This window comes from Homo sapiens, chromosome 2 (assembly GCF_000001405.40).
Source record: "Homo sapiens chromosome 2, GRCh38.p14 Primary Assembly".
Classification (NCBI taxonomy): domain Eukaryota; kingdom Metazoa; phylum Chordata; class Mammalia; order Primates; family Hominidae; genus Homo; species Homo sapiens.
In genome coordinates, this window is record NC_000002.12 from 184,218,331 (window position 1) to 184,234,181 (window position 15,851).

A 15,851-nucleotide genomic window follows, 5' to 3' on the forward strand; every position below is an offset into this window, starting at 1 on the left:
TCTTCTAGATTTTTTTTAGTTTATGTGCACAGAGGTGTTTTTTATAGTATTCTCTGATGGTTGTTCATATTTTTGTGTGGTCAGTGGTAATATCTTCTTTTTCATTTTTTATTGTGTCTATTTGATTCTTCTCTCTTTTCTTCTTTATTATTCTAGCTAGCAGTCAATTTTATTAATTAAAAAAAACAGCTCCTGGATTCATTGATTTTTTTGAAGGGTTTTTGGTGTATCTATCTCGTTCAGTTCCACTCTGTTCTTGGTTATTTCTTTTCTTCTGCTAGCCTTGGGGTTTGTTTGCTCTTGGTTCTCAAGTTCTTTTATTTGTCATGTTAGGTTGTTGATTTGAGATCTTTCTAGCTTTTTGATGTGGTCATTTAGTGCTGTAAATTTCCCTCTTAACACTGCTTTAGCTGCATCTCAGAGATTATGGTATGTTGTCTTGTTTGTTTTCTTTAGTTTCAAAGAACGTCTTGATTTCTACCTTAATTTCATTATTTACCCAGGAGTCATTCAGAAGCAGGTTGTTCAATTTTTATGTGGTTGTGTGGTTTTGAGTTTCTTAGTCTTGATTTCTAATTTGATTGCACTGTGGTCTGAGAGACTGTTTGTTATGATTTCCTTTTTCTTTTGCATTTGCTGAGCAGTGTTTTACTTCCAGTTATGTGACAAATTTTAGAGTGAGTACCATGTGGCAATGAGAATAATTTATATTTTGTTGTTTTGGGGTGCAGGGTTCTGTAGATATCTGTTGTGCCCACTTGATTCAGAGCTGAGTTCAGGTCCTGAGTATCTTTGTTAATGTTCTGTCTTGATAATCTAATATTGTCAGTATGGTGTTAAAGTCTCCCAGTATTATTGTGTGGGAGTCTAAGTCTCTTTGTAGGTCTCTAAGTACTTTCTATATGAATCTGGGTGCTCCTATATTGGGTACATATATATATATGGCATAGTTAGCTCTTCTTGTTGAATTGAACGCTTTACCATTATGTAATGCCCTTCTTTGTCTTTTTTGACCTTTATTGGTTTAATGTCTGTTTTGTCAGAAACTGGAATTTCTACTCCTGCTTTTTTTTGTTTTCCATTTGCTTGGTAAATTTTCCTCCATCTCTTTATTTTGAGCCTATGTGTGTCTTTGCAAGTGAGATGGGTCTCTTGAAGACACCATACCAATGGGTCTTGACTCTATCCAGTTTGCCATTCTGTGTCTTTTAATTAGGGCATTTAACCCATTTGCATTTAAGGTTAATATTGTTATGTGTAAATTTGATTCTGTCATAACTTGCTTCTTATCAGCCATCTTGGCCCACGTCCTCCCTCCATCTTGTTTCATTGTTAACCCAGAATCTTTTGGAAGCAGATTATTTAATTTCCATATATTAGTATGATTTTGAGGGTTCTTTTTGTGGTTGATTTCTATTTGTATTCTGCTGTGGTGTGAGAAGATACTTGATAGAATTTCAATTTTTGAAAATTTATTGAGACTTGTTTTGTTGTCTATCATATGGTCTGTCTTGGAAAATGTTCCATGTGCTGATGAGAAGAATGTATATTCTGCAGATCTTGGGTAGAATATTCTGTAAATATCCATTAAGTTCATCTGTTCTAGCATGTCATTTAAGTCCATTGTTTCTCTGTTGACTTTCTGTCTTGAAGATCTCTCTAGTGTTGTCAGTGGGGTACTAAAGTCTCCCACTATTATTGTTTGTCTGTCTATCTCATTTCTTAGGCCTAGTAGTAATTGTTTTATGAATCCAGGATCTCCAGTGTTTGGTGCATATAAATTTAGGATTATAATATCATCTTGTTGAATTTATCCTTTTGTCATTATATAGTGACTTTCTTTGTCTTTTTTTTTTTTCTGTTGTTGCTTTGAAGTCTGATTTGTCTGACATAAAAATAGCTTATTCAGCTGGGTGTGGTGGCTCACACCTGTAATCCCAGCAGTTTGGGAAGCCAAGGCAGGTGGATCACCTGAGGTCAGGAGTTCAAGACCAGCCTGGCCAACATGGTGAAACCCCGTCTCCACTAAAAAATACAAAAATTTGCCAGGTGCAGTAGCATGCACCTGTAATCCCAGTGACTCAGGAGGCTGAGGCAGGAGAATCACTTGAACACAGGAGGCAGAGGTTGTGGTGACCCAAGCACTCCACTGCACTCTAGCCTGGGCAATAGAGCAAGAATCTGTTTCAAAAAAAAAAAAAATTTGCTTACCCCTGCTCACTTTTGTCTTCTGTTTGCATGGGATACCTTTTTCCACCCTTTCACCTTGAGTTTATATGAATTCTTCTGTGTTAGGTGAGTCTCTTAAAGACAGTAACTATTTGGATTCTGATTTTTTTTTTTTTAATCAGTTCTGCCCTTCTGTATCTTTCAAATGGAGTATTTAGGCCATTTATATTCAACGGTAATATGGAGATGTGAGGTACTATTCTCTTCATTAAATTGATTTTTACCTAGCTTTTTACTGTTTTGTGTTCTTGTTTTATAGACCCTGAGAATTTCAACCTTTCAAGATGTTCTATTTTGTGCATATTAGGCATTTGTTTAAAGGTTTTGTATTCCTGTTAGGATTTTTGTAATGCTGGTTTAGTAGTGACAAATCCCCTCAGCTTTTGTTTGTCTGAAAATGATTTTATTTCTCCTTCATTTATTAAACTTGGTTTTGTGGGATTCAAAATTCTTGGCTGACAGTCGCTCTGTTTAAGGAGGTTAAAGACAGAACTCCAATTCCTTCTGGCTCCTGCTGAGAAGTCTGCAGATAGGTTTTTCCTTGCAGTTTACCGGATGTTTTTGTCTACTGCTTTTAGAATAGACTGCATTTTAATATTTCCAAAGCTTGTTTTAAAATTCTCTTTATGATTTCCTCTTTGACACCTAGGGTATTTAAGTATATCGTTTTTTAAAAAATTTCTGGGATTTCCCATTTTTCTGTTATTGATGTCTAACCTAATTTCATTGTGCTCACAGAATGTCTTTTATTGAAGATATTGAAAAATCTTAAATGCCTTTTATATGGTCTATACTGAAGAATGTTCTAGGTAAACTTGAACATTATGTGGATTTTATTATATAAATCAATTCAATCAACTTTAATAATGTTAAAGTTTCCCATGTTCTTACTGGTTTTCTGTCTTTTTAGTCTGTCAAATTTACTGCATTATTTTGGAACTGTTGTCATGATATTGTCATTATGAAATATCTCTCTATACATGTAAAAATATTCCTGTCTTAAAGTCTACATTGTCTGACATTAATATATCTACACCAGTTCTTATTGTTTTGATTGAATGATGTCTTTTTTATTCCTTTATTTTATGTTTTTGTGGCTCTGAAATTAAAATGCTTCTTTTTCGGATTACCTATAATTGTATCTTGACTGTTTTATTCAGTTTGGCAATCTCTGACTTGGCATTTTGAAGCATTTAGTATATTTACATTCAAGATAATTAATATAAGTTTTGAAATAAGGTTTTTGCCATTTTTTATTTGGTTTCTAGATGCCTTGCTGTGATTTATGTCATTATAGTTTCTATTTTGGTTTTGATGCCCTACCTTGAGACTGGCCATATGATTTAGCCCTGTCCTAATGAGAAATTCCAGGAATTTTGTTGTGGATCATTTATAATATGTCTTTTATGAGATTTTTTTTTTAAACCTGGCAGATGGCCCAGTGCTTAAATGTCTCACCCATAACCAGGTGTCTTTCTCACAGGAAAATTGTTTATACTGTCAGACCCCTTTGTAGCTTTTGTCTGACCTGTGTTCAATTTCTTCTTTCCAAGAATAAAACTACTCTCTAAGAGATAACACTGACCAGAAAGGTTAGGTTTAGATTTAGGTGGGTTGGTTAAATGAGACACAATGAGGAGGCAAAAACAAAATGCATGACACTGAAGAAAGATATTACTTACAGTTCCCAGAAAGATTAGAGGTGATGATATGGGGGGCAATGGGAAGTCCAGATGTGGCAGGGAACTCAAGCAGTGAATAGGAAGCAGGAGAGGACCTGTGGAACTACACCTTCATTAAGGTCCATGATCATTATCCCTTAGACATTCACACAGGAGTTGTGATTAGCTGTTTTAAAGATGGAGTGTGAAGGGAGAAGTCATTTACATAATTCTGGCATTAAACATTAGGTTTTATCATATTCAGTAGTAGCTGTGGGTGGTTTGGTTGTTGAGTCAATGGGATAAGGAACAAGTGGACTATATTACAAACAATCACATGGGGAGGGGAAGTTTTAAGCCAAAGGTTACAGGTACAACTGAGTTTTAAGCAACTTATATCAAACTGAAAAATGGATGTCAAGGAAGTAACTTCATTAAAGAAATTTATGACATGTCTCATATCTTTGTTATTCCTAACATTTTTACTCTTGTTTCTGCTTTGTGTTAAACAAATATTTTTAGTGTATCCTTTTATTTTCTGAATTTTTAGCTATATATATATATATATATATATATGTTTGAATTTTTTTTTTGCATGGACTGCAATATGCTTCTTTGATTTAATCATAGTTTATTTTAGGCTAGCAGTCTCTTAATTCTGGTAAATTATAGGAATTATGTCTAGCATAGCTGTATTTTGTCATTTTTGTGCTATTATTGTCATCTATATTTCATCTAGATTTGTTAAAAATTCAAAAATACTGTGCAATATTATCCATCAATTATGTGTTGCTTAAACAAATTTAATAATGTTTAATGGTAACAACTTTGAATTTTTTTATTTTTGTGAGGGTAATTGTTTCTTTTTTTTAAACTTAAATGAAAAAATCTCTGTCTTTCAAAGCATGCTGTCACTGATATGTCTGCTCAGTTATTTTTTTAACATTTTTATTTTTAATTATAGTTCTCAAAAGTCACACGTGTGACTATGTTTAGTTTTTAGCCAATAATGTGGGCAAATTTTGATAACACATTCGTGCCTCAAGGCTTTCCTTCTCTGTGAACTCAATTATATGTACCTGGAGAAATTTATTCAAAGTTGCAGCCAAATTTCAAGTCTCCATTGGCTTTTTTTTTTCTTTTTTTTTTTTTTTTTTACCAGAATCTCTCAGATCTCTCTTAAGCATTTATAATTTAAAGTTAGCTCGGGATATACAGAGACCTTATTTAACAAATTCTATGCTACTCTCACTTCCACAATTTCTAAATTAATTTTTACTTGTTCTGCTGCTTGTCCTGTCCTGAAAAACAGAGCTGTGGCTTCTGAGATAGTCCTTCCTCACTGGAAGCCATGAAATCCATGGGTCACTCTACTTCTTCTCAGATTAAATCCTCCACCTCTGTTGACAAAGCTGCTGGTTTTGTGGCCAGCCATAAAGGAGTAAATACATAGTGTTCACCTGGAGGGCTGGCAGTAGGGAAAATGGGAGCCATTATAAGCAAGAAGTACATTAACTTCATTCTTGCTCAATGACATAGCAGTTTATCAAGGAGGAATCCTCCTCAGTTGTTGCCAGCCTATGCTTAACTTTGCTGTCTAAGTTTCATTGAAATGGTTGTTTTTCGAAATGGGTAAAGTTCATGTCTTCCTGAGCTGTTCAACAATGACCATCTAATGTTATCAAGTTAGCAACAAATCAATAGGTAGATATAAGGAAAGTGACGCTCGGAGATACTAAAGGCATCTTGAATGTATTTTAGCCTTTGGGTTCTATAGGAATTTTCTGAAAGCTGTTGACCTTTTGAGCAAACATTGCAAACTAACGATTCTGTGCATAGGTTCTAAGAGTTAGTTATCTAAAGTGACACCAAAAATTACCAACGGATTTAAACAATGAGACAACTGCAGAAAGTATGTGGCCAACAAAAAGAACTGTAATTTGAATAGCAATAATGACTAGACTTGGAAGACTTTAGGATTCAAAAGTGCTGGCCTATGTATCATCCTATCTTTGAGAAAGAATACTGGAAGTCTCCATTATCTAATTAATATAAAAATGAAGGCAAATTCTTGACCTTAGGTTGTCATTTATAAATGTAGGGAAATATTTTTAATATAGAGTTTGAAAGTCTTTTGTAGTCTCAAGTAAAAATACAAAAAGACAAAAGATCATGATATTTCAGAGTAGGTATGACCTGAGGAGATGAATTTTAAAATAATTTTGAAACAAAAAAAGAAAATTAAAAAAAATTTAATATCGATCACAGCTTTGCTTTGAACTAGTACATCACTGGGGAAAGGCGAAATCAATGGGTGTGTGTCCAACAACTGAAGGGAAAGTGGAAGTAAATCACAGGAATGTCAGTTCTTAGATAATGTAAAATTGAGTAACTAAAAATATTCAATTTGTCCAATGATCAAACCCTTTCTAGAATGAGCAGGCTAAGTCAGATTTTTTTGAATTCTATAAAGACTGGACTTCCAGGAGTGGTTTGCCTGGTTCTTTAAACTGCCTTATCACACTTTGTCAAACTGCAAGACAATTAGGTTGTCTTTTTTTTTTTTTCCAAAAGTTTAGATTGATAGAAATTGTTTGTAATTAAAATATTAAGTTAAATTAGACTAATCCAATTTTTATAACATCATACAAACATAAGCATCTCAAAGTGGAAAGTCATGTTTCCATTAGATATTGGTTTCAGCTAAGCATGAACAACTAAAATGAATTTAAAAAGCTCACTGTCATTTGTTCAGTTTGCTAGGATTCATTTTTATCCACTGCAAATAAAGTTGAAATTCATACAATTACCTAAAATATTTTCAAATGATGTGGTATTGTCTAGATTGGGGCAAGAGAGTCCTGGAAATAAGCCACAGCTATGACCCTTGGAAGCCTTATTTTTTGACAATTTTTAAACCGCATTATAACTTAGTTCCCTAATATAAATGTGAATGATAGTACTTACCTTCTAGAGTTATTTTACAAATTCTTAAGTAATTTATTTCATTCATTAACTACATTTTGGGCATTTAACAAGCACTGTCCCCTTTGCCACTAAGAACCCAGAACTATGAGAAAAACTGGTGAAATGTTTAACGAGATGCCATGTTTCAAAAATTAGAAATGGACAAACAAGACAAAACTAACGTTACCTGCAGAGTCTGCAAAAGGTGACTGGAACTACTTATGCAGTCTCTTTAGACTTGGAATAGAATTGAGTGATTGAAACTATACACCAGTAGCTATGTGATCTTTATGCAAGTGGGGACATATCAATCATATTGCCTGCTATTTCAGCAAGAGCTAATATATAAAATGTTTAATTTAAGATTTATTTTGGCTGGGCGCGGTGGCTCACGCCTGTAATCCCAACACTTTGGGAGGCCGAGGCGAGTGGATCACGAGGTCAGGAGATCGACACCATCCTGGCTAACACGGTGAAACCCCGTCTCTACTAAAAATACAAAAAATTAGCCTGGCGTGGTGGTGGGCGCCTGTTGTCCCAGCTACTTGGGAGGCTGAGGCAGGAGAATGGCGTGACTCCGGGAGGTGGAGCTTGCAGTGAGCCAAGATAGCGCCACTGCACTCCAGCCTGGGTGACAGAGCGAGACTCCTTCTAAAAAAAAAAAAAAGGTTTTATTTCTTGATGGAATAATATTGTTCTTCCTTTTCTCCTGATTATGGTACATCTAAAACATGTTAGAGATTTTTAATGTTAGCTTGTGAGAAGAAATAAAAATAGCTAGCAAATGACTGTAAACGTGCTGGTATTTATACCTAAGGCTTCTTATAAAGGGATCTATTTCTTGCCGATGAGGAAGATACAATTCACAAAAGAAATTCAAAGTCAATGCATTTTTGTTCTTTCAGACACTTTCGGGAACTTTAAAAGATGCCTACCACCATTTGTCTCTCATGAAGATGTGAACTGCGACTGGAAACAGCTCAGTCTCTCACAGGTGACACAGACAACTCCAATAACCAATTTACCGTAACATTGTGACATAATCTCTTGTCTTCTCTAGTCTGTCTAAAAATTAACACCCCACACTAAGCTTCAAAAATCTCACACACACACACACACACACACACGCACACACACTGATAGGGTTTGGCTGCGTCCCAACCCAAAATCTCACCTTGAATTATAATCCCCATAAGCCCCACGTGCCAAGGGTGGGACCAGGTGGAGGTAATTGGATCGTGGGGGCAGTTTGCTGCGTGGCATTCTTGTGATAGTGAGTGAGTCTCATGAGATCTGATGATTTTACAAGCATCCAGCATTTCCCCTGCTTGCACTCACTCTATCCTGCCACCCTGTGAAGAAGGTGCCTGCTTCTTCTTTGTCTTTAGACTTGGAATAGAATTACCATGTTTGTAAGTTTCCAGAGGCCTCCCTAGCAATGCGGAACTGTGAGTCAATTAAACCTCTTTCGTTTATAAATTACCCAGTATTGGGTATTTCTTCATAGCAGCATGAGAACGGACTAACACACACACACACACACACACACACGCACACCCCGATGTAGAAAATTCTATTTTTGGTCTAATTTTCTGGTGTAAAATGTTTGGACATACGCAGACAACATTAAATTTATCTATAAAATGAAGTAGAAAGTTGTTAATTATATTATTAATCTGATAAATACAGAAAACCAAACCTAATAACTTAATGATTTAGGAAAATAAATTGTCAGAGACAGCTGTAGTTGAAATATCTATTTTTCCATATGGCAGTATGAAACAGTGCCACACATTTTTGTCTCACCAGAATGAGAAATAGTCACTGAATGTAATTTTCTCCTAACAGTGTTTGATTATTCATCAATAAAGATGAGTAAGCAAAGGTGTTTGTAATAAGCTTCAAAATGTAATTTTCAAACTTGAACATTTTTATACAAACATAAATTTTTTGGCCTTAAGGATTTTTAAATATAATGCCAAATAAGCGGACATCCTTATGTTTTAGAACTGATAGATAAAACCTATTATTCTGCAGCCACTTCAAGCACAATCAATCAAACTGGCAAAATGTGTTTGATAACAGAAGAGTAGGCAACAACATCATTTAAAATATGAAAACTATGAATGGCCATGTATTATTTGAAACAAAATTACCACTTTACTTTTTATTCTTCCATATAACTTAGCTATTGAACTACAAATAACACCTATCAAAATCATAAACTTTTAATTAATATGGGATCATGACTTTTTGTAAAGACAATTATTCTTAATAAAGATGAAGGGGAAACATCAATATTTTATTAAATAACATGGTTTAATAGAGTTCAGTTTTCATTAATCACTATTCACTTGGCCTTTAGGTAATTTTTCTTTATTAAAGTTTATCTCCCATTTTTTTTTTAAATTCTCAACCAATTATATTACCTGCATAAGACCCGTTCCATGAAAGAAGTCTCGTAAGCAATTCAGTCAGCTGAAGAAACACTGTAATCCAGTAGTGCTCTGATGTTGGAATAGAAGATATAAGGTTTTGATTTCTGCCTTAATCAATTATGAGGTATATGCTGATAAAATTACTAAGCTTTCTAAGCCACAGTTTCCTCATCTTGACAATGGGCATAATACTAATTTCCTATCTCATAGGGTTACTGTAAAGATTACAAAATATAATGTGTAGGAAGAAGCTATGACTGCGTTTGTAAGTATTAATCATTAAATAAATAGTTGCTGTTGCTATTTAATATGATATTTATATAATTATCATACTTTGATACATTGTGTTTCACACATCATTTTTTTCCAGAAAAAATAATTAATAATTAAAGTTAATTAAACTTTCTGACATAGCTCTGCAACACCTTTTCCTACATTATTTGGCCATATATATTTTGATTACCTCCTTATGTGATGATGGCTTGGTATTCGCTTTTCATTTTTTTATTTTATTTTTCTCCCAGTTTTGGATGTCAGAATTCTTTTTTTTTTTTAGATTTCAGATAATTTTCTCTTTATATTATTATTATTATACTTTAAGTTCTAGGGTATATGTGCGCAACGTGCAGGTTTGTTACATATGTATACATGTGCCATGTTTGTGTGCTGCACCCATTAACTCGTCATTTATGTTAGGTATATCTCCTAATGCTATCCCTCCCCCTCCCCCCACTCCATGACAGGCCCCAGTATGTGATGTTCCCCTTCCTGTGTCCAAGTGTTCTCATTTTTCAATTCCCACCTATGAGTGAGAACATGCGGTGTTTGGTTTTCTGTCCTTGCGATAGTTTGCTGAGAATGATGGTTTCCAGCTTCATGCATGTCCCTACAAAGGACATGAACTCATCCTTTTTTATGGCTGCATAGTATTCCACAGTGTATATGTGCCACATTTTCTTAATCCAGTCTATCATTGATGGGCATTTGGGTTGGTTCCAAGTCTTTGCTATTGTGAATATTGCCACAATAAACATACATCACACATCATTTCTTAATTGTAACTCCAAGATAAAACAATACTGCATTTATTCCTGGTGCTCATTTACAATCGTGACACATTGTTTTCTTTTACAACACATAAACAATTAACTTTACTATAACTAGAAATAAGATTTGAGATATTAATAAAAGATCACTATGCCACATATAAAATATAATTTATAGATATACCTGTTCAAATTTCTCTATTATTTATTTCTGATTATGACCCAAAACATAATGTCCAAAAATATTTTATAGATAAATATATCTTTTATAATATCAAACCTCTCTTAAATTATACCATAATAATTATATGAGAATGAGGTATAAGCATAAAAACTGAGTTGTCTTGTGAAATGAATTGAACAAAAAGTTGTGTGGTAATTTTTTAAAAAAGCTTGAAAGATAGTTTGGGACATTTTGTCACATTTAAACTATAGCTTTCTCCATTCCTATGGAGAATTGCCATTAAGAACTTAGTTTTCTCCATTATTAATGGAAGGTTGATTGGCTGTGCATGGCAGAAATGAATTGTTCATAGAGTTATTCATTTGCATAAATAGAAATGCATTTAAAAATATATAAATAAACACATATATATAAATATACATACATACGAGTGTGGTCTGTATTTAGAATAGCTTAAACCATGTAAGTCCAGCAAAAACTCACTACAATATAGTTTATTTCTAGAATAACTATTGAATTGCAAATGTTCATTTACCTGTAATTTATGCTATGCAAGAAAAAAAGGAACCAAGAACACATACCTATTGTATTTATAAACTGCTCAGGATCTGAGAATTTTAGAGAGGTAGAGATTTTAAAATTCTGCTTTTCTCCTGTGAAACTTATTACTCAGAGTCATGGAATTTTCAATTAAATATAAAAGAATGTAGCAGCCCTCTGGTACATTTACTAAAAAAGGGTATGCACTTTATTTCCTTTTTTGACTATTTTAATTCCACCTATAAGCAAAATCTATGTTTACTCTAATCCTAATCTAAACTATTTGAATGATATTAAATTAATTTTTCAAATTTGGCTATGTCAATTGAACAATTTACAGATTGGCATGTTTTTCAAGGTAAATATATTTTAATGTATTATGTATGTATATGACATTCATGTGTTCTGCCTAAAGTACAGACTGTCACATGGAGTTTCATTTATTCCTTAAAAAATTAATTTAAAAAATCTATCTGATATGAATAACATGACTTTTTTTCTAAAATTAGAGGCCACTTGAAATTGTCTAAATTCCTAATTTTTGCTGCCTATTTTAAAGTTGCATTGTTATTATACTTTAAGTTTTAGGGTACATGTACACAATGTGCAGGTTAGTTACATATGCATACATGTGCCATGTTGGTGTGCTGTACCCATTAACTTGTCAATTAGCATTAGGTACATCTCCTAAAGCTATCCCTCCCCCCTCCCCCGACCCCACAACAGTCCCCAGAGTGTGATGTTCCCCTTCCTGTGTCCATGTGTTCTCATTGTTCAATTCCCACCTATGAGTAAGAATATGCGGTGTTTGGTTTTTTGTTCTTGTGATAGTTTACTGAGAATGATGATTTCCAATTTCATCCATGTCCCTACAAAGGACATGAACCCATCATTTTTTATGGCTGCATAGTATTCCATGGTGTATATGTGCCACATTTTCTTAATCCAGTCTATCATTGTTGGACATTTGGGTTGGTTCCAAGTCTTTGCTATTGTGAATAGTGCCGCAATAAACATACGTGTGCATGTGTCTTTATAGCAGCATGATTTATAATCCTTTGGGTATATACACAGTAATGGGATGGCTGGGTCAAATGGTATTTCTAGTTGTAGATCCCTGAGGAATCGCCACACTGACTTCCACAATGGTTGAACTAGTTTACAGTCCTACCAACAGTGTAAAAGTGTTCCTATTTCTCCACATCCTCTCCAGCACCTGTTGTTTCCTGACTTTTTAATGATTGCCATTCTAACTGGTGTGAGATGGTATCTCATTGTGGTTTTGATTTGCATTTCTCTGATGGCCAGTGATGGTGAGCATTTTTTCATGTGTTTTTTGGCTGCATAAATGTCTTCTTTTGAGAAGTGTCTGTTCATGTCCTTCACCCACTTTTTGATGGGGTTGTTTGCTTTTTCTTGTAAATTTGTTTGAGTTCATTGTAGATTCTGGATATTAGCCCTTTGTCAGATGAGTAGGTTGTGAAAATTTTCTCCCATTCTGTAGGTTGCCTGTTCACTCTGATGGTAGTTTCTTTTGCTGTGCAGAAGCTCTTTAGTTTTATTAGATCCCATTTGTCAATTTTGGCTTTTGTTGCCATTGCTTTTGGTGTTTTAGACATGAAGTCCTTGCCCATGCCTGTGTCCTGAATGGTATTGCCTAGGTTTTCTTCTAGGATTTTTATGGTTTTAGGTCTAATGTGTAAGTCTTTAATCCATCTTGAATTAATTTTTGTATAAGGTGTAAGGAAGGGATCCAGTTTCAGCTTTCTACATATGGCTAGCCAGTTTTCCCAGCACCATTTATTAAATAGGGACTCCTTTCCCCATTTCTTGTTTTTGTCAGATTTGTCAAAGATCAGATAGTTGTAGATATGCAGCATTTTTTCTGAGGGCTCTGTTCTGTTCCATTGATCTATATCTCTGTTTTGGTACCAGTACCATGCTCTTTTGATTACTGTAGTCTTGTAGTATAGTTTAAAGTCAGGTAGCGTGATGCCTCCAGCTACCTGTTCTTTTGGCTTAGGATTGACTTGGCGATGTGGGCTCTTTTTTGGTTCCATATGAACTTTAAAGTAGTTTTTTCCAATTCTGTGAAGAAAGTCATTGGTAGCTTGATGGGGATGGCATTGAATCTATAAATTACCTTGGGCAGTATGGCCATTTTCATGATATTGATTCTTCCTACCCATGAGCATGGAATGTTCTTCCATTTGTTTGTATCCTCTTTTATTTCATTGAGCAGTGGTTTGTAGTTCTCCTTGAAGAGGTCCTTCACGTCCCTTGTAAGTTGGATTCCTAGGTATTTTATTCTCTTTGAAGCAATTGTGAATGGGAGTTCACTCATGATTTGGCTCTCTGTTTTTCTGTTATTGGTGTATAAGAATGCTTGTGATTTTTGTACATTGATTTTGTATCCTGAGACCTTGCTGAAGTTGCCTATGAGTTTAAGGGAATTTTGGGCTGAGACAATGGGGTTTTCTAGATATACAGTCATGTCATCTGCAAACAGGGACAATTTGACTTCCTCTTTTCCTAATTGAATACCCTTTATTTCCTTCTCCTGCCTGATTGCCCTGGCCAGAACTTCCAACACTATGTTGAATAGGAGCGGTGAGAGAGGGCATCCCTGTCTTGTGCCAGCTTTCAAAGGGAATGCTTCCAGTTTTTGCCCATTCGGTATGATATTGGCTGTGGGTTTGTCATAGATAGCTCTTATTATTTTGAGATATGTCCCATCAATACCTAATTTATTGAGAGTTTTCAGCATGAAGAGTTGTTGAATTTTGTCAAAGGCCTTTTCTGCATCTGTTGAGATAATCATATGGTTTTTGTCATTGTTTCTGTTTATATGCTGGATTATGTTTATTGATTTGCGTATGTTGAACCAGCCTTGCATCCCAGGGATGAAGCCCACTGGATCATGGTGGATAAGCTTCTGGATGTGCTGCTGGATTCGGTTTACCAGTATTTTATTGAGGATTTTTGCATCAATGTTCATCAAGGATATTGCTCTGAAATTCTCTTTTTTGGTTGTGTCTCTGCCCAGCTTTGGTATCAGGATGATGCTGGCCTCATAAAATGAGTTAGGGAGGATTCCCTCTTTTTCTATTGATTGGAATAGTTTCAGAAGGAATGGTATCAGTTCCTCCTTGTACCTCTGGTAGAATTCGGCTGTGAATCCATCTGGTCCTGGACTCTTTTTGGTTGGTAAGCTATTGATTATTGCCACAATTTCAGCTCCTGTTATTGGTCTATTCAGAGATTCAACTTCTCCCTGGTTTAGTCTTGGGAGGGTGTATGTGTCGAGGAATTTATCCATTTCTTCTAGATTTTCTAGTTTATTTGCGTAGAGGTGTTTGTAGTATTCTCTGATGGTAGTTTTTATTTCTGTGGGATTGGTGGTGATATCTCCTTTATCATTTTTTATTGTGTCTATTTGATTCTTCTCTCTTTTCTTCTTTGTTAGTCTTGCTAGCGGTCTATCAATTTTGTTGATCCTTTCAGAAAACCAGCTCCTGGATACATTAATTTTTGAAGGATTTTTTTGTGTCTCTATTTCCTTCAGTTCTGCTCTGATTTTAGTTATTTCTTGCCTTCTGCTAGCTTTTGAATGTGTTTGCTCTTGCTTCTCTAGTTCTTCTAATTGTGATGTTAGGGTGTCAATTTCGGATCTTTCCTGCTTTCTCCTGTGGGCATTTAGTGCTATAAATTTCCCTCTACACACTGCTTTGAATGTGTCCCAGAGATTCTGGTATGTTGTGTCTTTGTTCTCGTTGGTTTCAAAGAACATCTTTATTTCTGCCTTTATTTCGTTATGTACCCAGTAGTCATTCAGGAGCAGGTTGTTCAGTTTCCATGTAGTTGAGCAGTTTTGAGTGAGTTTCTTAATCCTGATTTCTATTTTGATTGCACTGTGGTCTGAGAGACAGTTTGTTATAATTTCTGTTCTTTTACATTTGCTGAGGAGTGCTTTACTTCCAACTATGTGGTCAATTTTGGAATAGGTGTGGTGTGGTGCTGAAAAAAGTGTATATTCTGTTGATTTGGGGTGGAGAGTTCTGTAGATGTCTATTAGGTCTGCTTGATGCAGAACTGAGTTCAATTCTTGGGTATCGTTGTTAACTTTCTGTCTCGTTGATCTGTCTAATGTTGACAGTGGGGTGTTAACGTCTCCCGTTATTATTGTGTGGGAGTCTAAGTCTCTTTGTAGGTCACTCAGGACTTGCTTTATGAATCTGGGTGCTCCTGTATTGGGTGCATATGTATTTAGGATAGTTAGCTCTTCTTGTTGAATTGATCCCTTTACCATTATGCAATGGCCTTCTTTGTCTCTTTTGATCTTTGTTGGTTTAAAGTCTGTTTTATCAGAGACTAGGATTGCAACCCCTGCCTTTTTTTGTTTTCCATTTGCTTGGTAGATCTTCCTCTATCCTTTTATTTTGGGCCTATGTGTGTCTCTGCACATGAGATGGGTTTCCTGAATACAGCACACTGATGGGTCATTGACTCTTTATCCAATTTTCGAGTCTGTCTTTTAATTGGAGCATTTAGTTCATTTACGTTTAAAGTTAATATTGTTATGTGTGAATTTGATCCTGTCATTATGATATTAGCTGGTTATTTTGCTCATTAGTTGATGCAGTTTCTTCCTAGCCTCGATGGTCTTTACAATTTGGCATGATTTTGCAGTGGCTGGTACCAGTTGTTCCTTTCCATGTTTAGTGCTTCCTGCAGGAGCTCTTTTAGGGCAGGCCTGGTGGTGACAAAATCTCTCATCATTTGCTTG

General features: G+C 35.1%; 1 long non-coding RNA gene across 3 annotated transcripts in view; it reads left to right on the top strand.

Moving 5' to 3' along the window:
* LOC102724340 (uncharacterized) overlaps positions 1 to 15,851 on the top strand; it is a 246,221-nt gene that overhangs the window by 28,061 nt on the left and 202,309 nt on the right. For all 3 annotated transcript variants that reach the window (XR_001739819.1, XR_923652.2, XR_001739818.2), the window contains exon 2: positions 7,763 to 7,851. This is a non-coding gene — a long non-coding RNA (uncharacterized LOC102724340). The remainder of the gene's footprint in view (positions 1 to 7,762; positions 7,852 to 15,851) is intronic.